At 41.5% G+C, this 22445-nt stretch overlaps 1 protein-coding gene and 1 pseudogene across 10 annotated transcripts in view; one reads left to right on the top strand and one right to left on the bottom strand.

Moving 5' to 3' along the window:
• ELMO1 (engulfment and cell motility 1) overlaps positions 1 to 22445 on the top strand; it is a 596421-nt gene that overhangs the window by 27071 nt on the left and 546905 nt on the right. The window lies entirely within an intron of this gene.
• Positions 2489 to 2628, bottom strand: LOC124900242 (uncharacterized; annotated as a pseudogene).

Below are 22445 nucleotides of genomic sequence, written 5' to 3'. Positions count from 1 at the left end.
TTCCTCGATGCTATGCATATAATGGGTAGTCAATAAATATTGTTTGCCCGCTTTTTGTAGCTGTTTCAAATTGGGATGAGGATGAGTCTGTGGTGTTGAAATAGAGGAAAGCTAATTTTCTTATCCTGGGATAGGCTTTAATCTTGTTAGCCAGATGTTCTAAACATGAGAGCTAACCAGTCAGATGAGACCACAAATATCTGAGTTGCACAATGCAATTGGCTTGAGAACTGCATTCTTTAAAGGTCATCCTTTGTATGGGGACAGAGGCACCCCTTGTCTACATTTTGGGAGGATAGGTTGGCTTCCTGGTCCCACTCAGGTCAGAAACACCACTGCCCATCACTTTTGGCCCCAGCTTCTTGTGGTTCAGTCCCACTGCATTGTAAACTCCAAGCAGAGGGGCCAGTTTTGACCAATGAAAATGGTTAACCCTTTTGGCCAGCCCTCTTCTGCCGAAGTCTATAATGCATGGCTGTTTTTATCCCTGTCTGTTGGAAGAATATTCAGAAATCCATTGCAATCTAGTTTTGATAAAGCCTTTAATTTTCCACTCCTTCCTTTTGCAACTTCATCCATGTGCTGCATATTCAGCCCCTAAGAACCCAGGAATGAATTGATGTGCTGCCTTCAAAACAGCCTGGCGTTTAGGAGTTGTGATTATATTCGAGAATCTCCAGGCTTGACTGTTCTTAGCTTTGATATCATGAGGACTATCCTCACAGGGAAAGATTTATAGCATCTGGGGTGAGAACTTTAATCGTGGCCCAAAGGAACTTGTGATATTTTGATAAGGGGCTTGAGGAAGTTGTTGGATATAGAGCAGAATGTATTTCGGAAGGGTGCAAGCAATTTTGAGCCCTTCTGGCTGATCATTGCAAAATGGGTGAGCACTGGGAGATCAGAAAATATGTGGTGGGCAAGGTAGAAAGAACGTCAAACTGGATGAAATAAGAAAACGGGGGAAAGCTATTTGAGAGGAAACTTGGCATATACTTAGTATTTGTGTCTGTTTTTCTCTTGAAATGGGCTGTTGTGTTGGCAGAGGCTTCTGGCTGCTGTCAGAGATATGAACATCTGTGCTCCTTTGCAGAAAACTCAGGATTCTAAAGTGTTTGGTGGAAATTGTTTAACTCTGCCACTTGCTCCATCTCCTCATTAGGAAGAGGTTAGTCTGTACTGCTCAGAGTGTGCTTTTAAGAGGAAGATGTGGCTTAGGGTTCTGGGCTTCACTTTTACATACTGCATGGCAGAAGCAGGTTTGCAGCAGTGAAATCTGAGGCCATCAGATACAAGTGTGTAGACTTGGTGTAAATCAGTTTGCTTGCTTGGGTTGGAAGTAAGAATGAAAGATGCCAAATTAGTAAGGCAGTTGTGATACAGGCATCCGAAGAGAGCCAGCAAGATGGACAGGTCACGTGTGGCTAAGTTTTGGAAGGCTTTGCTTTAGTCACTGTAGTTAATGCTAAAAGCTGTTATAAATGACCCCAAAATATCAGTGACAATACAATAAGAGTGAAGTATTTGATCACTTTAAAATGCATTCTCCTATTCCCCTAATTAATTCTGCTGTTCACCAAGTCTTCTAACAAAGTGGTCAGTGGAGTTACACGGGGCATCAGTGTCTAGCCAGCATGCCACCTTCCTTTAGCCAAAACCTAATCCCAGCTGTGGCACACGCAGGAAAGGCCAGGCAATGTAGTTTAGCTCTGTGCTTGTGGAAAGTGTCACTGGTTTATCGAGCACAGCCTCAAATGTTCTTCCTAGACAGTGATGGATCCATCCACATTTTGTGGAGCCCCCTTTATGAAAATAACACAAAATCAGGTACAAAAGTGAATGGTTTATTTAGAATGAGAATGGGCAGGGCTTAGTCAAGTGGAAGGCTCTGAAGATTACGGTTTCTTAGCTTCATGGTAATATATCTCTGCTCCTAATGTCCAAGTATAAAATGTGTTTTTCCCCTTCTTACTACCTAATAAAACCATCTTTGCTAGGTGACCCATGGAGCACTTCGTGCTGTTGAAGTGTGCCAGGGCAGCTTATTTTCACATTGCCCTTGGAGTGAACAGTGCTGCAGCCTTGCTGGGAGGCCATTTGGCTATTGGTACTGAGAGCACAAGACTCGTCCTGTGCTTTGACTCAGGGGCCTTACCTCTCAGCCTCTGAAAGCCCCCAGTGATTTGTATTAGGTATGTGTAAATCGTGAAAACATCCTCCTTCTCCAAAGACCGGTAAATGGTTGAATTATATCACCATGCAATGGAATATTGCAGCAATTACAAATGATGATAGGATGTTTTGTGCAAGGGAAAATGCATATAAGTGAAAACAGCATGATGTGAAATAGTGTGAACTCAATTGTGTAAAAATAAGTAAACTAAAAATTACTGAAATAAATGATATGAAAATGTTGCCACTGGTCATCTCTGGATGATACACATATGACCAAACTTTATTCATCTTTATAGTACTTTTTTCTTCAACTCCATTTCCCTGCATTTACAATACAGACCAGGCACACACACAGGGCCTGGGCTGAGGTGCACATGGTATAGGTTTACTCTGCTTCCTCTTTCTCTGCTTCAGTCAGTGTAAGAAGACAGCCTTGGTAAGCACCAGGAGGCCTCTCATCTTTATAGTTTTCTGCATCTAGCAAATTGTATACAATTATTTAAATAGTGATAGTTCTGACACCTCTATGTAAATGGCAATATTGCAGCCTTAATTTGCCCTAACATTTTACTGTTTCCAAAGTGTTATCACATATTATCATATCTAATTTTACAACAACCCTGAGAGGACAACAAAGAAAAAAATCATACATTTTTAGTAGAAAACAGATTAAACAAAACAAACCCATCCAATCACAAACGGCCCATGAATATATTGACATTTCCAGATAGCATCTCCATCTTCTTCCTCCTGTTCTCCTAATTAATTCTGCTGTTCACCAAGTACTCTAACAAAGGTAAAAAATACTACTTTCTTCTCAATTATCATAGCCTTCTATTTAGATTTTTAATTACAAATATTTTAAGAGTATTATTTTGGGTTTTCTCCGAGCTTGGAAACCTAGCCTTGTTCTACCAGAAAATGCTTTCTGCATTTCAGCTAAGGCATTTAGAAGTCCACATTGGGTCAGAGCCTGCCTGCATCCTGAGCGGCTGTTTCTGTTCTCCCTGCCAGCATCCTCCTCTGCGGGCTCAGTCCTGGGGGGTAGGAGTGGGGTTATGGGGGAGTCTCTAGGACCCTGGGACCCAACACTGGAGAGATCTCAATCACGCTGGGTGCTCTTCTTCCCTCGACTCATGTTCCGTAGCTGCTTAGTCTTGTTGCGAGTACCCGACTCCTAGCCTCTGCAGCACCCTGAGAGCTGGGCACTTGACTCTTACCATCCCCATCTCGCCTCACTGCCCCTTCACTGCAGAAGCTGCAGTTTGCCTCCCACGCTTAACCTGATGACTGACACCTCCTTATAATACCTGCGAGATGACTTCTGTGATTCTGCCTGCCCGCATCTGTGTGTTTCTGGATTTTCCATCTCCACGCTTGGCCCTGCCTGAGACTTCTGCAGGTCAGCATCTGACCGAGGTTATCTGAGCTGACTCTGACGCATCCATGGTGTTGCTATTCACCAGATACAGAGTTGCACTGGCACAGCACAGTCCCTTCCCACTACTGAAGCTCTTTCTCCTTGCCAGAGGTCTTGCTCACCCCAGGGGCCTGGGCAGATCCAGTTCCAGATTCTGGAATCTCCCTACGGGCCTTACCTTATTGCAATGTACTGGGCCAGGCCACCAGATATTGCACTTTGAAAATCTGTTTTGAAGTTGCTAACTGCTTGGAGTACTGTGGTGCTGCAGGCTGCTGTCAGGGGTAGAGGTATGGGGAGCAGAGATGCCTGAGCTGATCTAGAAAATACTTAGGGGTAGAATGCTCTAATGTGAAAATTAATTTTAAAAAACACACTGTTAAAGACAGTTCAAAATGTGCTGCACTTTCTATCTGTAGCAATCTCAAGTCCAGAAAAAGAAGGTGGAATGAAAATTTTGGTTTCTGTCTCTTAGCAGATAGGTCAGGTCAAGTGGAAAGAAAATGGAGGCAGGAAAGAGTAGCTGGGGAGAGCCTGCAATGTTGAGTTTGTTTCCTGGGGCTCCCTTAACATCTTTTGATGAACTGGGTGGCTTAAAACCATGCAGATTTGTTCTCTCACAGCTCTAGAAACTAGCAGTCCAAAATCAAGGAGTTGGCCTGAAGGTTCCAGGGGAGGGTCTTTCCTTGCCCCTTCCAGCTTCTGGTGGCCCCAGGTGGTCCTTGGCTTGTGCAGTATCACTCCAAGCTGTGCCTCCATCTTCATATGGCTGCCTTCTTGTGTGTCTGTTTTTGCATGACGTTTTCCTCTTTTGTTTTTGAGACAGAGTCTTGCTCTGTCATCCAGGCTGGAGTGCAATGGTGCCGTCTCGACTCACTGCAACCTCTGCCTCACAGGTTCAAGCGATTCTCCTGCCTCAGCCTCCCGAGTAGCTGGGACTACAGGTGTGTGCCACCACACCCAGCTAATTTTTGCTTGTGTGTGTGTGTGTGTGTGTGTGACGGAGTCTTACTCTGTCTCCCAGGCTGGAGTGCAGTGGCGTGATCTTGGCTCATTGCAAGCTCCGCCTCCTGGGTTCATGCCATTCTCCTGCCTCAGCCTCCCGAGTAGCTGGGACTACAAGCGCCCACCACCATGCCCAGCTAATTTTGTTTTTGTATTTTTAGTAGAGGCAGGGTTTCACCATGTTAGCCAGATGGTCTCGATCTGCTGACCTCGTGATCCTCCCACCTCGGCCTCCGAAAGTGCTGGGATTACAGGCGTAAGACACCGCGCCTGGCCAATTTTTGCATTTTTTTAGTAGACATCTTCCTCTTTTTATAAAGATAACAGTCCTAGTGGGTTAGCACCTGCCCAAATGACCTCGTTTTAACTTGATTATGTCTGCAGAGACCTATTTCCAAATAAGGTCACATTCACAGATAGCAGGAAAGGACTTCAACGTGTCTTTCTCAGGGGACGCCTTTCCATGCATAACAGCTGCCTCTGGTCCAGTCTTTCTATCCCCTCTTCAGTGGTGTGTCCACCAGCAAAACTTCTGTGCCTCAGTTTCCTTGGCTGTAAAACGGTGCCCTCTTCTAGGATCGTTGAGAGAATTAAATGAAATCATGCTTGGCAGAGTATCACGCTCATAGAAAGTGCTCAGTAGGGGTTTAGCTTTTACAGCTAGTTGCTTGCAGTCATTTGATTTCATAAGCTAGGTTTGTGGAGAAACTGAGGAAGTGAATGAGCCAAACACAAAAGTAAACACTGTTGATAGGACAGGTGGTTAACTCTTTCAGTGCCACAAAACACATTCTGACTCACCTGCACACAAATTTTGCTTACAAGATTGTTGTCAGCACTAATTTTGCTCCAAGTATTTGCTTGATTAAAATCTCTTATGCTACTCTTTGCAGCTGACCTATAACAGAAATAAATGAACTAACTAGAGATACTTTCTTCGTTGGGCTTCCATCTAGAGCTAAGCTTTACTTAGGCTTTCAAATTGTAAGCAAATGCAAAATAACTCTCTTGGGAAAATTCCAGAGAATCTAGGCCTTGAGCTGTTGTAAGCAAATGTGGCCCTCCTTTTAGGGCGGGAATCTAAGAAATGGAGATTATGCATTATCCAGTTCCAGGGGCATCATTCATACTGTGGTCTGTGCGTGTGCATGGACAAGCCTGCTCCTCTGGGTGAGGTGGCCATAGGTCCTTTCTGGGGTTCAGTAAGTTCTGATAGTGGCATTGTCATGGTGTGAAACCTCTCATTCTCCCAGTTTAATTATTCAGTGAGAATGGGATTCCTGAGATTCTAAACCATATTCCATAACTTTGGAAAATATATGTGTATATAAAATTTTCCATACGGTTAAAACCTGAGAGTGGACTGCAAGTCAAATTGCTATTTTCTTCCCTGCTTCGTCTTTGTGAACTTCGTATTGTCAGTTTTCCTGACAGTTGACAAAAGTGGGCAGTTTTGGTGGCATATCTGATTTAGGAAGTAAGTGCAACAATTTGAAAGCCTAAGTAAAGCTTAGCTTTAGATGGAAGCCCAATAAAGGAGTTATCTCTAGTTAGTTCATTTATTTCTGTTGTAGGTCAGCCGCAAATCTGAAAACACAGGTTTGAATTTGTATGCTCATTTAATGTTACTGATAATCTGAAATGCTGGTTTTTAGGACTGTAGATTTCATTATGGAATATGTTTTTAACTTAATTTGTACATGGGTCTCTTGTTGTTTTGGGAATTTTGTTCTAAGACATGTTGAAGCTGTGCTGTAGTTATTGGGTTTATGAGTTGTTGGGGTATTATTTATTTTTAATGTACTCTGTTCCTTCCTCTTCCCAAAGCAAATAATCAAGAATTAATGTTTAACTTTAAGTTGGATCCACTCACTTTATATTGAGAGTTATTATTACTTTAATTCACGTTTCTTTTCCCTGAAGCCCTGATATATCTTTGGGAAGATACATTTTTTCATGCATTAATTATTTTCTTTTCCAGTATCAATTGCAGATATTACAATCACAGCAAGAAACATCTGTTGTACCTTTATTATGTGCCAGGTACTGTGCTGCCTGCTTTATATGAATTATTATTACGATCATTAAATTTTTATATCCACGCTAGACTTTACATACTGTCTATCATAACTCACATTTTATAATAAGGACTTGAGACTGGGGAAATAAACTTGCCAAGTCGACACAATTTAAAAGTGGTAGAGCCAAGAGTTGAACTCACGTAGTCTCTGACTCTGGAACTATGCTCTTAAACCCTACACTCTTGATGTTGAAGATGTAGGGACATCTTTGCATTTGAAGACAGAAATGCACATACAGCCCAGAACTTTTCAGTGATTCCAAAGACCTCTGTATTTTCACGTAACATAACTTTGGAAGCCACAGATTCGCTTTGCTCAATCTATTTTGTTCAGGAGTACATGCATGCTAATTTGCTCAGGCAGTAGCTGAAAGCAGTGAGAGATATTCCAACAAGGCTCCAGATTGCAAGAGAAATGAGTGTGGATTTAAAAATTAACAGGCTTTGTATGCATATAACTAAGAATCAGCTTACTTGCCATGAAGATGAGTACCAAGGCCCCAAAGTATGTATGTCAGAAGGTAGGATATTACTTGGTTTTGTGTAATTGGTAATACCAAGGTCAAATCAACTTAGATAACTGGTTTAAACCATTAAATAGCTTTTTTGGCTTTAGATATTTCTCAAGATTTTTACTGCAAGCTACGTGCATTGCAGTCTGCAGGAAGAAAAAAAAGGATTATTAGTGTTTTTGCAATGTTCCTGCCCAGCGTTTACTTCTTTATTTGCTCTTGTTTTATTCCCACAGGGAAAGGTTCATTGTAACATACCCAGGGATGTGTGGTAGATTTTTCCAATGCAGCAGGTAGAATGACTTTGATGGTAAGAAACAGAAAATTGAATGCCGACTGGCTTAAACAATAAAAGCTTATATCATTGAAAAGATTAGAGGTATGGTGAGTTACAGAATTAGATTGATTCAGCCACTCTCTGGGTCATTTAGGGTTTCTTTTTTTCTGTCTCTGCCAAACAGGATTGGACTTTGGAGTTGGCCACAGGGCAGATTCCCCCAACACACCAGCAGGGTGGCGATCAGAGAATGCCAGAACAAACATTAGATAATTTTTAAGAAGAGTGACTTGGTGTATGTGTGCCCCAACAAGTATCCACCATAGCCAGTGACCTGGATATGCTTAATTTAGATTAATGAATTTATCCGTCCTCTCTCTTCTCCACCTTGTAGGTGTTAATATTCTACATGTAATGTACAGGGGTTTTCCCCCTCGGATATTTTTGGTGAATATTTCTGTAGTTGTCCCTAAACATAGAAAGATTTTCCAGCAGGATACTAAGAGGTACTGTTTAGCATATTTCAATTTCCCATTACCAATCCCACAGACCTGATAAGATATGGATGTTGGCTGCTAATATCAAATAATGTTTTCTAATTTTCTTAGTGGAAAATGAATGGAATGAATCATTCAAATGAATTCCATGATTCATTATGGAATCATTCACTCAATATTATTTTGATATTAAATGATATTAATTATATTAAAATATTATTTTGATATTAAAGTGGAGGTAAATTGACTTCTGTCATATACCTTTTCACTTTGCTACTTCACAGTTTCCCTCTGTTCTTGCCATGCTGAAGTGGCCTGGTGTGGTGGCTAACATCCCTAATCCCAGCACTCTGGGAGGGCGAGGCAGGCAGATCACTTGAGACCAGGAGTTCCAGACCAGAATAGGCAACGTGACAAAACCCCATCTCTACTAAAAATACAAAAATTAGCCAGACGTGGTGGTGTGCGCCTGTAATCCCCGCTATTTGGGCGGCGGAGGCACAAGAATTGCTTGAACCCAGGAGGCAGAGGTTGCAGTGAGCTGAGATCACGCCACTGCACTGTAGCCTGAGTGACAGAGCAAGACTCTGTCTCCCCCACAACTGCCCCCAAAAAAGGAAAGTGCTGAAGGGTGTTTTCCTGAGTGACATGCTGGAACTTTAGATGGCAAGAAAAAGAGAGCTAAGGGCATACTTTGCATGTTACCTGGATGCTCATTTTTGGCCAAGGGGATTTCTTCTGAGAAGTGAAAAATATCTTCAGACAGTTTGGTTCATTTGGTGATTGTCCTGCTTGCCAGGTTGTACCAACTGGTATTTTCTTCTTTTGTTCAGTAAATCAACCAAAAGCCCACTATGTGTAAGGTATTTTCTGTGGATTCAAAGTTGAACAAGACTTCCTTAGCCTTCCTGGTCTTTCAGTCTGGTCAGGGAGATGAGACAGACACACAAATAACCACAATACAAAGGACGAAGAGGAAAGCTAGGCTTGGAAAAAGGGCTGTTGGGCTTGGAGGAGGCAAGGAAAGATTCCTGGAGAGATGAGGAAAGTCTTGTGTGCAAGGGGAAGGGAGAAGAGGGAGGATTTCAGACAGAGCAAGTATTAAGAATCTTGAGCCTAAATGTTGTGAAGCAGTTAAAATTAAAAAAAACAAAAAAAAAATTTGGTCAAGTTATGTCTCCTATTAGTGACTTATTATTGTTTAACAAATCACCACAAAACTTAGTGGCTTGACCCAACAAGAATAATTTATTCTCTTTCATAATTTTAGTGGTTGAGGAACCCAGGAGCAGCTTAGCCAGGTGGTTCTGGCTAAGGGTCCTTTGTGAAGTGGTGGTCAGATGTCAGCTGGGGCTGCAGTCATCTGAAGGCTGGACTGGGGCTGGAGGACTTGTTCCAAGATGATGTGCTCCTGTGGCTGACAAGCTGCTGCTGGCTGTGGATGTCTCTTAGGGCTGCTTGAGTGTCCTTATGACATGGGGTCTGGCCTCCCCCAGAGTGAAAGTTTCAGGGAGAGACAATCATGTGGCATCTTTTTTCTCTGACCTAGCCTTTGAAATCACATAGCATAGCTTCCCACACACTCTGCATGTTAGAGAGGAGTCACTAAGGTGGGTCTAGGGGAAGAGGGTTCACCTTTTAAGGGGAGGAGCATCCAAGGATATGCACCCATGTTTTAAAACCAATACATTCTTGAAAAAAAATGACAAGCTAAAATGATGGTTGCATTAGTTTTTCTTTAGTTGTTGTGTCTGCACAGTGTTTAACTACAGTAGTTGGCACACTGTAGTTTTTTGATTGGTAAACTATGGTATATATGATGTCTTCATCTGTTAAACTAGTCATTTAAAGTAGAAATTGGCAATTTATCCAAGAGACATCTTACCACAGAAGCCTCCTATAGAAGACAGATAAAGTAGAAGTCAGGGGCTCAGGCTGAGGTGGTGGTGAAGGGGGCTGGCACAGCCTTTCCTCAGTGTCCAGGAGGACCCCACAAACGCCCTGGCTCCTGAGAATAGAACTCTCTGGAAGCCATTTCATGGACCCATCCATTCCTTCCTGTGATTTTTTTCTTTTGGAGTTCAGTTGTTCCTTTGAAGAAAGAACAAAAGGATTTCATGTTGTTTTGCAAAATATAATTGTAAGAATTATTTTCTGAATTATAAACACATAGTTTGAATGATGATGTGTAGCACTGAATGATGGTTAGAATAATTTCTTCCAAAACATTTTGTGTGTGTGTGTTTTTGTGTGTGTGTGAGAGAGAGCAGAGGTAGGAAGTAGTTGAGCGTGAGGAAGGGACTTTAATTTGAACAGAATTTTCTCCTCTGTGGAGCATATTAATTAAATATGTACTTGTACTGAACCATAACACTGTGTTTAAAGCAGTGAAAGACATGAGCCACCATTCTCAGCAGTATCAAAGCTGAAGCCCTCCATGACCATGTGATCTGACATGACGTTCCTGCTGGAGTGGGAGGCAGAGTTCTGAGAAGTGGAGAATGTGATGCTTCTGAATTAAGTGTCTTTGATAATTACCAGAATAACGGAAAAAGTTTATGAACCAGATCAGGAAAAAATATGCTCATTAGTCATATGAATATTAGTTTTCTCAACATAACAATACACTTCTGAGGCTCCCCCTTCTTCCTTGGCCCCGCACACACACAAAAATGCCATTTCTGTGGACTGTATGGCCATTTCTGTAGACTGTATGAAAAGGGACCCTCTAATACAATAGAGAAGTTGGAAAAGCTGAATACATTCTCTCTCTCTAACTTAGCACACTTAAAGGGCAATAGCCAGAAAATTAAATTTTATTTAAAGAATTTTGAGGATGAAAAGCACGAGGATATTAATTTTTCTCCACTGTCACTTTCCACTTTCATCACTGCTACAATTTATTGTACCCACTTGTTCCTGGAAAAGAAAGAGCATAATAGCTTGTTACAGTGATTTCGTTTTAAAATAAAGTGTTGTAGGATGTTGAAAAACTAGAAGAAACCAACGGCTAGCGGTAAATGAAAGAGAGGGAACTTTGTTTGCTAAGATGTGGACAGGGAATAATATTGCTCCTTGAATTTATCCACTAACAATCCAGTATTAATATCTGTGGGACTTCCCATTTAGAATATTGGTAAGGTAGAATTAGTTGCTACATCTCCATAATTATTTCTTAAAATGGTTTTCTGAGAACCAGGAAAATGTTATACTACTTCTTGTTCCTACTTCCTGTTCTTGCTGTTCCGGGTTTTATTATGAAAATGTGTAAGTGGGAGTAAAAGCCAAACTCTTACTTAGCAGAGTGCCTGGTGTGCAGTAAACATTAATTCTCTTCCTCCTCTATCCTGATGCCTTCTGCACTGACCCCAGGATCCACAGAGGGAGGGTGACAAAAAGTGTCACAGCATATAGCTCATGAATTGCATCCTTTTCTTTAGTTAGCTAAAAACTCTTTCCACTCATGTCTTCTTCCCTTTGCAGTTTTTTTCTCCAACAGGAAACCCACTGTTTTTTGTTTCTCTACCAAAATGTGTCAGGTTGCCTTCCTTTAGGGGTAGGCCAGCAGGCTCTATGATGGGCCCTAGTTTTTCTCATTGTATTAGTTTTCCCTTGTTTGAATGGAGAAAGTGATTAGAAATCTGGATTACTGTTCATTTCATTTTCATCCATGTATGTCATTTATTCATTCATTTGTTCATTATAACATTTGTAGAAGACCCACTGTGTAGGGCTGTGTGTGTGTTAAGGGGTGGGAGGGGCTAGAGCAGAAGGTTACTGGAACTGAGGCATCTGGCCCTCTGTCCCTGCTTTTTAGTGGCTCACAGTATGGGGTTGTGGGGAGGGTTGGAGAGAAAGACATGAAGACAAGTAGATACATTTCAAATAAGCATTTACTGAACCCTTGCTGTGATCAAGGAACTGAATTAAATTTTATGTGGATACCAGGTTTTACTAAACTTGTTTTTTTCTTTCAAGGAGATTATACTTTAGTAGAGGAGAGAAGACACATCTAATTTAGCAAAACTTTAGGGAGCTTTCTATGTGTCAGTCACCAAACTGCAATAGTACTGGGGAGTTCATTTTTTTTCATGTCAATTACATAAAATAATCCTGCCTATGCAAAGAAGTTAGAGACTCTCTGAGCTAGAGCAATTACAGCAGGAATTGTAAAGGAAGTCGGAAGCAAAATAGTCATAGTAGTTAAGGGTTCTGACTTGGGAGTCAGATATATCTGGTTTTGGATCCTGGCTTCGTTGCTTAATAGCTATGTGACTTTGCGGGAAGGAGGGAGATAATTACCTTTTCAAGATTCAGTTTTCCTGCTTGCAAAATGGGGATTATAATGATAATATTTACTGTGGTAGATTGTATTGTCCAAAATGGTCATGCCAGTATCTTTTATCATACATGATCTTACAATATCCCTGTGAAACTCCTGCCATCTAGCAATAGGGTTTATGTTCCTTCCATTTGATCTTGAGTGGAATGTTGTGACAGCTTTGACCAACAGAGCATAGCAGAAGTGATACTATATGGCTTGCAAGGCTACATCATAAAAATGTTATTCACCTCCATCTTGCTCTGCAGTGTAGCTCTTGGAACCCAGCCACCATGCTGTGAAGAAGCCCAAACAGCCCGTGGAGAGTCCCAAGTGGGAGGAATTGAGGCCTCTGGCCCACGGGCCTGGCTGAGTTCCCATCTAACAATTAGCCTCAACTTTCCAGCCATATGAGTGACCATCTTACAAGTGGATCCCCCAGCAAGCCCCAGTTGAGTTGCCCTGGCTGACTGTGCATGGAGCATAGACAAACCATACTTACCCAACCCTGCCCAAATGGTAGTTTCATGAGAAAAATGAAGTGATTGTTGTTGTGTGAAGCCAGTAAGTCTGGAGATAGTTTGTTACACAGCAGTACACAGCCAGGACACTTGCCATATAAAGTTGCTAAGAGGAGTCGATGAAATGATACATATAAATCAGCATAAAACTAGTGACCCGTTAATGATAGCTCTCTTCATTATTATCACTAGTTAAGGGAAGTTATTTAATAGATGTCAGCATTAGTTCAAAGTAAGGTCAGAACCTAAAAAGCTACCCACGAACTTTTGGCATCCAGTAGGTTTTAGGAATTTTGTTCACTTTTTTTTTTTTTTCACTTGCAAAACTCTGCTGTGTGTCAGCTTCCGGATCACCTTTCTGCTGATATTGTGCTGAGTTTGTTCTGAACTCTGTGCTTTCCGTTGTTTCAGAGTTTCACTTAGGCTTTCGGTGCCATGGCCCGATGTGTAAACAATGTTTAAACTTCCAGATTATTCTGTGAAAGTCATGCTCAGGGCTGTTATTTTATTAAAACAATTTTTTTGCATGTGGTAAAAAGCAACACAAAATTTACAACTTCACCATTTGAAGTATACAGCACAATAGCATAAACTATATGCACATTCTTACGCAGCAGATCTCTAGAGCTTTTTCATTGTGAGTGACTGGAAATCTATACCCACTGAAAAACGACTTCCCCTTTCCCTTCTCCCCAGCCCCTGGCAACTACCACTGTATTTTATGTTTCTAAGAGGTTGACTACTTTAAATAATCCCTAGAAGTATAACCATGCAGCATGGGTCTTTTTGTGGCCGGCTTACCTCACTTAGCATCATGTCCTCAAAGTTTATCTGAGTTGTAGCACATGACAAGATCTCCTTCTGCTTTAGGCTGAATAATATTCCATTGCATGTATATTCCTACCGTTTCTTTATCCCTTCATCTATTAATGAATATTTAGACTGCTTCTCCCTCCTGGCTATTGTGACTAACGCTGCAGTGTACACAGTAGTGCCAATGTTGCTCTGCGGTTATTTTTTCCACTTCCTACCAACAGCAGAATCTCGTTGAAATGCATTGGAAAGACAGAGCGTAGGGGCTTATCTGAGTTCTTTGTCATCTTTTTTCCAATGTGTCTTAGACAGTGATGCACAATCAGGTAGCCAGACTGCCCAGATTCTTCCTGGGGGTTTCAACTTCATTATGTATATCTATTGTGTAACCGGTTGTGATTAGAATTAAACCTCTGCCAGGCTTTCTATTGCTTTCAGAGCAGTTTCACAAGCATTATTTTATTGAACCCTTGCTGCATGATAGCTATTTCTTTAGTATGGGGAACACAAGGTTACAAATATAGTGTGGATATAAAATCCAATGCTACTGTATATGTTTATTGTGGTATTCAATGTTCTTTACCAATGTAAAATTCACTTACAGACTTGACACAATTTTTTGAAGTTACTATTTTTAAAATTAATAAATATTTTAAAAATTAATCAATTTTTTTCTAAGAGAAATTTTAGGTTTACAGAAAAATTGGGCACAAAGTACAGTTTCCATATCCTCTCTTTCCCCAGCAGGGCTTCCCTCTTATTAACATTTGTTACAAGCAATGAGCCAATATTGATACATTATTATTCATTGAAGTTCATAGTTTGCCTTAGGGTTTACTTTTTGTTTTTTACAGTTCTATGAGATTGAACGAATGCATAATGCCGTTTATCCACCATTATTCTGTCATACAAAAGAATTTTACTGTCCTAAAAATCCCCTGCAGTCCACAAATGCATCCCTCTCTCACTGCATATTGCTGGCAACTACCGATGTTTTTATTGTCTCTATAGTTTTGCCTTTTCCAGAATGACATATAGTTGGAATCAGTCTGTGGCCTTTTTAGGCTGGCTTCCTTCACTTAGAAATAGCACTTAAGATTCATCCATGTTCTTTTTTTTTTTTTTTTGAGATGGAGTTTCACTCTTTCGCCCAGGCTGGAATGCAGTGGTGCAGTCTCAGCTCACTGCAACCTCCGCCTTCTGGTTTCAAGTGATTCTCCTGCCTCAGCCTCCTGTGTAGCTGGGATTACAGGCACCCACCATCACGCCTGGCTAATTTTTGTATTTTTAGTAGAGACGGGGTTTCAGCATGTTGGACGGGCTGGTCTTGAACTCCTGACCTCGTGATCTGCCCACCTCGGCCTCCCAAAGTGCTAGGATTACAGACGTGAGCCACCGCGCCAGACCCTCATCCATGTTCTTTCATGGCATGATAGTTCATTTCTTTTTATCTCCCAATACTGTGTCATTGTGTGGATGTACCATTGTTTATTCACTCACCTGTTGAAGGACATCTTAGTTGCTTCTGAGTTTTGTCAAGTATATGTTAGGCTACTGTAAACATGCGTGCAGATTTTGTATAGCTGTAAGTTTTTTCAACGCTATTATAAATTACCAAAGTGTTCTCCACACAGGCTATATTAATTTACCCTCCAATTCAGCAGTGTATGTGATTCTGTTTACTACAAATTCTTACTGACAGTTAATACTGATGAATTCTTTCATCTTTGCCTATCTGAAGAGTGAATGTGGGTATCTATCTTACTGTTATATTAATTTATATTTCCTGATTATTAGTGAGTCATACCATTTTAATCTTGGAAGGACCTTTGAGATCCTCTAGCTAATGCTATATTTTAAAGATGCAAAAAACAAGACTAAGAATATTTTCTTGGCCTGGTGCGATGGCTCCCGCCTGTAATCCCAGCACTTTGGGAGGCCGAGGCGGGCAGATCACAAGGTCAGGAGTTCGAGACCATCCTGCCTAACACGGTGAAACCCCTCCCCCGTCTCTACTAAAAAAAAAAATACAAAAAAATTATCCGGGCGTGATGGTAGCTGCCTGTAGTCCCAGCTGCTTGGGAGGCTGAGACAGGACAATGGTGTGAACCCGGGAGGCGGAGCTTGCAGTGAGCCGAGATCGCGCCACTGCACTCTAGCCTGGGTGACAGAGCAAGACTCTGTCTCATAAAAAAAAAAAATTTTCTTACTTCCTCACTTTCATTTTTCTTTCCTAAGAATATGTTTTTAGTTTCATTGCATTATGCCCCTCATTGTTGTGGCTACTGAGTTCAGTGTCTCATCCAATGGAAATCTTTCATATTTGCCATGAGGGTGGAATATATACAAAGAGAGAAAAAAAAAAAACAAAAGAGTAATATTGCAGATTTCTCCCTTGCACCAACTGCAGATTTTTCACTTGTACCATCTTTATTTTCACTAACAAGAAGCTTCTGTTTCCCAAACTAATTATACACAGGGCCTGAACCAGCGTGAGTACTCAAGCATTCCCATGAATGATGGAATGAACCCTAAGATGCAAGGAGTGGGAGATGAGGTCTGCTTAACGGCTTGAAAATACCCCTAGATCCCAGTGGTATCTCAGCTCTGCAGCTTGAGCTTGACTTCTGATTCTGCCTGTAGCTGCGGTGGACTGGGAATTACTGATAAGGGAAGCAAGTGTTGACATTTTCCATATTAGGATGGGTTCTCCAGTGAATTCTGACCCATGCTCTCGTGGTCAGCTCTCTTGAGGCCAACTTTCCAGAGGCTAGCTGTTGGGACCAGCGGAGTTGACCTCTGGGGCGGGACAGCATATGCACTGTCCTCTGAGGCTAGCAAGTTCAAGACACTCTGGTTTCCCCTGGAAAGCCTTTGGAGTATCGGAGGAGGATTGGCTGGGCTGATTCAGCCAGTCTGTATTTTAACTGCCAGGGAATGAATAAGCCTATCTTTCTGACTCCCTCCTTCCCATTAACAAGCCCGACGCCTTGAGTCCCAGGAAGCATGCCACACATGACTTCAGTGTCCCGTGCACACAGAAGTTTAATTGCTTTGTGATTGCCTAAAATGTGAAATGAAGGAACACATTGCCTATAAGGATAACATTTGCGATTCTGTGCATTTCATTTCATCACACATATTTGTGTCAGTTAAAGCACACGGAAGTGTGTTTGCTGTACTTAAAAGACCTATCTGGATTTTGTGTTTCTCCGTGATTTGGAAGAATAACTGCAGATAAGCAAGCTCTGGGTGTGACAGACAGACATGGGGGCAGAGGTGAGACAAGGTGGAGTCTGGGGCGTGGGGAGGGGGTCGGAAACATTGGGCATTCCAGGAGGAGGGAACAATATGTGCAAGGGCTGGGACCTGCAATAAAGCCTGACCTTTTTGGAGGAATTCTTAGGGTTTTTTTTCCCCATTGTTGTTGTTTTGGTCTTGAAGTATAAAAAGCATCCATGCCTTATTCTTGGGAAAGATTCATTCAGATAAAATCCCATTGTCACTCAAAGTTATGCTTTCTCACACGACCATTTCAGTCCCCCAGTGCCGGTGGCCCACATTACCACTGCTTCATTGGTCTGGCCACAGTGACTTCTCTCCTGGAAATGATTGCTCAGCAAACGCCTTATTCTGGCAAATTTCAGAGCCCATAGTTACAATGAGGACTCCTGATCATGAGCTGTTTGCATTTTATTCAGAAAAAAATTAAAAATGGGGGGAACAAAGAGGGGAAAGGATGTGAGCCAAGCAATAGCTGAATGTTTTTTAAAAACTGGATATTTTGTTTTTCATCAAGTAACGATTACCCAGTTGCGACCACAATCTATTTAGAACTAAAAATTTAAGCCAGCCTTCCAAGCCCCAAAGAAAACTATGGAAAAAAAGATCCAGGAAACTTTTGGTACTGGGGTGTAGTATCTCCTTTTTATGCTAAGTTTGCAAACCTTGCTACATTGCCACAAAGAGGAGGAACATCTCAACACTGATTGGCATCTGGGCCTCGCAGATGGGGTGTGTTTCTTTAAACAGTGTCTTGGTTATAGGAGAACCTTTATTGGAACAACCTGAAGGGCCCAGGGAATTTATTATATACCAGGTTGTTACTTCCGTTAACATGGAGAAGCATCTAAAGGATACATTGTTTGTCAGATATGTCAATATCAAAGGTTAAAAATAGCGTGGGACCTAGGGATGCACCAGAAAGCTGTGCCAATGGCGGGGAGTGGCCATGATAGGACCAAATGAGAAAGAGCATAAGATACCCATAGAAATCATGGCGCACAGTCACCTGTATGAGACAGCATGCAGTGTGCATGGGAGAGGCCTGCCACACGGAGTGAAGGTGGAAGGGGGAGCCACCTAGACATTCAGAGATGGGTCTTGGTGGTATGGGAGAGGGAGTGGACCAGTGAGGATGGAAAGTGCTGGCCCAAACCTTCCCATGCATACCTTAAAATGAATTTCTTTCTGGACTGATTAGAGAGAAAAAATGATTACAATTTTAGGGATTCTGTTTCCCACCCCTCATTTTCTCTTGCTTTTTTTCCCCATTAATATATTTTATTTTTTAGAAGTATTAGATTTACTGAAAAATTGACTAGATAGCACAGTGAGTTCCAATATATGCCTGCTATCCACACAGTTTTCCCTATTATCAGCATCTTGCATTAGTGTGGTACATTTGTTATAATTAAACTAGTATCCATTATTATGAATGAACAACAACAGTTCATTAAGATTCACTTTTTGTGTCGTATGTTCTATGGGTTTTGACAATTGCATAATGGGCTGGGCATGGTGGCTCATGCCCGTAATCCCAGCACTTTGGGAGGCTGAGGTGAGAGGATCACTTGAGGCCCGGAGTTCGAGACCAGCCTGGGAAACATAGTGAGACCCCCATCTCTACAAAGAATAAAAAAAATAGTTGGGTGTGGTGATGTGTGCCTGTAGTCCGAGCTACTCTGGAGGTTGAGGTGTGAGGATTGCTTGAGGCCAGGAGGTCAAGGCTGCAGTGAGCTGTGATCATGTCACTGCACTCCAGCCTGGGTGACAGAGTGAGACCCCTGTCTTAAAGATAAATAAATAAATGAGAAAGACAGTTGCACCGTGTCATGTAGCTACTGTTACAATATCATACAGAATAATTTCACTGCCTTAAAAATCCACGATGCTTCACCTATGCACCCCCCTACCGTCCTCCTGGCCTCCAAACCCCTGGAAACCAGTGATTTTTTTTCAGAGTTGGGGGGATTTCACTGTGTTGCCCAGGCTGGTCTCAAACCTTGGCTTCCAGTGATCCTCCTACCTCACCCTCTCAAAGTGTTGGGATTACAGGTGTGAGCCACTGTGCCAGGCAAACCACTGAACTGTTGACTGTCTTTATAGTTTTGCCTTTTCTAGAATGTTATATAATTGGAATCATACAGGTATTTAGGCTTTTCAGACTGGCTTCCTTCACTTAGAAATGTGCATTTAAAACTTATCCATGTCTTTTTGTGGCCTAATAGCTCATTTTAAAAATTGCTGAGTAATATTCTATTGTGTATCTATACTACAGTTTATTCATTCGTCTATGGAAGGACATCACGGTTGCTTGCAGGTTTTGGTAAATAGGAAGAAGAATGCTCTAAACATTTGAGTGCAGGTTTTTGTATGGACATACATTTTCAACTTGTTTGGGTAAATACCTAGAAGCATTATTGCCAGATTGTATGACAAGATTACGTTTAACTCTGTAAGAAGGTACCAAACTATCTTCAAAGGTGGTTACATCATTCCCCCTTGCTTTTTTATTTTCCATGTGACTGTAGTTTGGGAACAGAAATTAAAGATAATATGTGGAAAAATGCAGGTACTACTTTTAAGGTGTAATACCCTGATTCTGAAATATCCAGAGAAGTGTGTTCTACTGGGTGAGATACAGACTAACAGTGTCCTTTAGTATAAGGATATTAATTGTTTACTTAACCAGAAGTCAGGGATCAGATGGCTTCAGATTCATTAAATAGCTCAAGACTGTCCTCAAGGATCCAGACTCTCTCTCCCTCTACTCTTCCATAAGTATGTTGGCTTTCTGTCTTCTGCTCATACTTCATGGTCTTAAGATGGCGGCTGTAGCACCAGGCATCAAGTTCCCAAACACTTAGGAAGAAAGAGGAAGGGGAAACACCAAGAGCTATCCTTCCATTTTGTTCCTTTTTTCAGAAAAGTGAACACCCCTTTACCCCACGAAAAACCCAGCAGATTTTCTCTGATGTTTTACTGACCCCAAATGGGTTCTGTCGTCACTCTAGCTGCATAGAGGCCAGGAAACAGTAATTTAGAGTCTCTCTAATTTCTGCTCATGGTTTCTTCCTGTAACGATATTCTCACTCACAACCTGGCCTCATCCATTTATCAAGCAGAATATTGCTGGAGCCACTTGTAACTTTTTGTTGCTGTAGGGGAGGGGAAATAGCTTCTTCCCACTCATCAACAGGTTCATGACTGAGGCCCCTATAACAAAAGACAGATTGACAATAGAAAAGGATACACATGTATTTGATGTAAGTTTTACGTGCCACAGGAGTCTTCATAGGGAACGAAAGACCTGAAGAAGCGGGTAAACCTGTGTATTTTTATGCTTAGGTTTGGTGAAGAGTAGACAGTCTTAGAGATGTATGATTGGACAAAGGAGCTATCTGTGATCTAATTGTAATGAACTGTGAGAAATTTAGCAAGGCCTGTTTGATCAGGTTCTTCTTCTCACTTCTATGTCTTCAACTCCTTTCCTTTGGGTATAGGGAAGGAGTCTCTCTCATATGGCTTGACTGTGTGCCCACCCAAATCTCATCTTGAATTGTAGTTCCTATAATCCCCACATGTCATGCGAGGGACCTACTAGGAGGTAATTGAATCATGGTGGCAGTTACCCTCATGCTGTTCTCGTGATAGTGAGTGTATTCTCACAAGATCTGATGGTTTTTTAAGGGATTCTCCCCTGCTTTTGCCTGAATTCTTCTCCTTCATGCCGCCTTGTGAAGAAGGATGTGTTTGCTTCCCCTTCTGCCATGATTATAAGTTTCCTGAGGCCTCCTTAGCCATGCTGAACTGTAAGTCAATTAAACTTGTTTCCTTTATAAATTACCCAGTCTTGGGTATGTCGTTATAGCAGTGTGAGAACAGACTAATACACTGTCTCCTGAGGCTCTTACAAAGTGCTTCAAAGAAAAGTCAGAAAATCCTTCCTCGATTTTATGATCTGCTTTAGGAGAAAAGGGGTGAGGGGAAGGTAAGAGTGACCTTCCTGCTTCTGCTGTTTTCTCAAATGCCAAGGTGCCATGTTTTGGGGTGGTAGGTCCTGAACCCATCCCTTCAATGTCCTTATTTTATCTGTGCATGAGGGCTGAATTATTCCATCACTTTCAAACTGTGTTTTATGGAGCCCCATATTTCTGACATGAGTGTAGGCATCTCTGCAGGGAGAGTGAATGGGATTTGAGAGGGCAGGGCTCTGGCTTCCCACTTCTTCCTGGACAAGCTTACCTTCACTTACTTAAGCTTCCTCCCAGTGTAGGGTTCCTAGGGGTTTTCCTTTGAATTAAACTTCTGCAGATAAAATTAAGGGTGAAAGCATTCAGTCAGGCGGATGTCTCTTTCAATTCTAAGAGTCAAACTTTTGGACCAAGATGAGACAAGGCTATTAGTCTTGTCCTAAGTCCTTTGCAAAATCCCTAGGATTTTTTGCCTTGAAAACTGTACCAAATACCCATATTGTGCACAGGTTGGAAGAAAATTGTTTTTTCTTCTGTCCTAAAGAAAAAGGAATTTCTTTGCCATTTAAAAAGCAGTTTAAATCCTAGCTCTTCCTTGTCAAGTTGATGGTCTGGAGCGGGGAGATAAGAAGATGGCCATCAGTCTAAGTGTTATTCCTAAAAAGTAGAAGTTTTGATCTTTCCTGGTATCTCTAAATGGAATTTATCAAATATTCTGGAGTAACTGAAAGGGGTGATCTGTATTCTCTTCCACCGTTTCCTAAAGCTCTCACATGTTTATGTGAAATTTGTGGACTTTTCAGATGGGCATTTAATATACGATATAGTATTAATTTGGGTTGGAAAATGTTCTGGGCTTTTAAAGTATATCTTAGTTAAAATGCTTTGTAATTTGCATATATGCCCTGAAGTAATTTTATGGAATAGAAAAATACATGAAAACAAAAACAGAAACTAGGTCTGTGCTGAATTTGCTGTTGGGTGAAGCTGACTTTTTTTTTAAATTTTGAAATAACTCCAGTGGCTTCATGGTCCACACAGCACATTGTGATCTATGGACAGTGTACCGATGCGGATTCTGCCTGCCTGATCCTGGAAGGCACACTGGCTTTCCAGGCTTGTTGGTGCAGTATTTAAATAAATGAGCCCTGCTGTGTGCGAGACAAAGGGCCTCTGTACTAACTGAGCATATGCTATCTGATGTTCTATATTTACATGTGTCATCTCATTTACAATGTATAACTCCCTCCAAAATAAGTGTTATCCCATTTTGCTGTGAAGACAGTGACACATCAAACTTGTACCATATTAAATAGCTAGGAAGTGTCAGAGCTGGAGCTAAAGTCTCCCAGAAGCTTGTACATTTGTCACTAAATCAGTAGCTCTGCCTCACTAAAATTAACTGGCATTCTTCACAAAAATGCAGGGGGAAAGGAACTAGTAAATTTTGGAATGCATTTTTGTGCCAGATAATTTGCACATTTCAAGTTGTTTAATCCTCACAACAATCCTGGGAGAAGGAGGTTTATGCCGTGTGTGGAGCGGGAGCTATAGTATTACTCCCACTT

The sequence above is a fragment of the Homo sapiens genome, chromosome 7 (assembly GCF_000001405.40).
Source record: "Homo sapiens chromosome 7, GRCh38.p14 Primary Assembly".
NCBI classification, from domain to species: domain Eukaryota; kingdom Metazoa; phylum Chordata; class Mammalia; order Primates; family Hominidae; genus Homo; species Homo sapiens.
The sequence above is the reverse complement of the archived record's forward strand: the minus strand, read 5'-3'. Positions and strand labels throughout refer to the sequence as shown.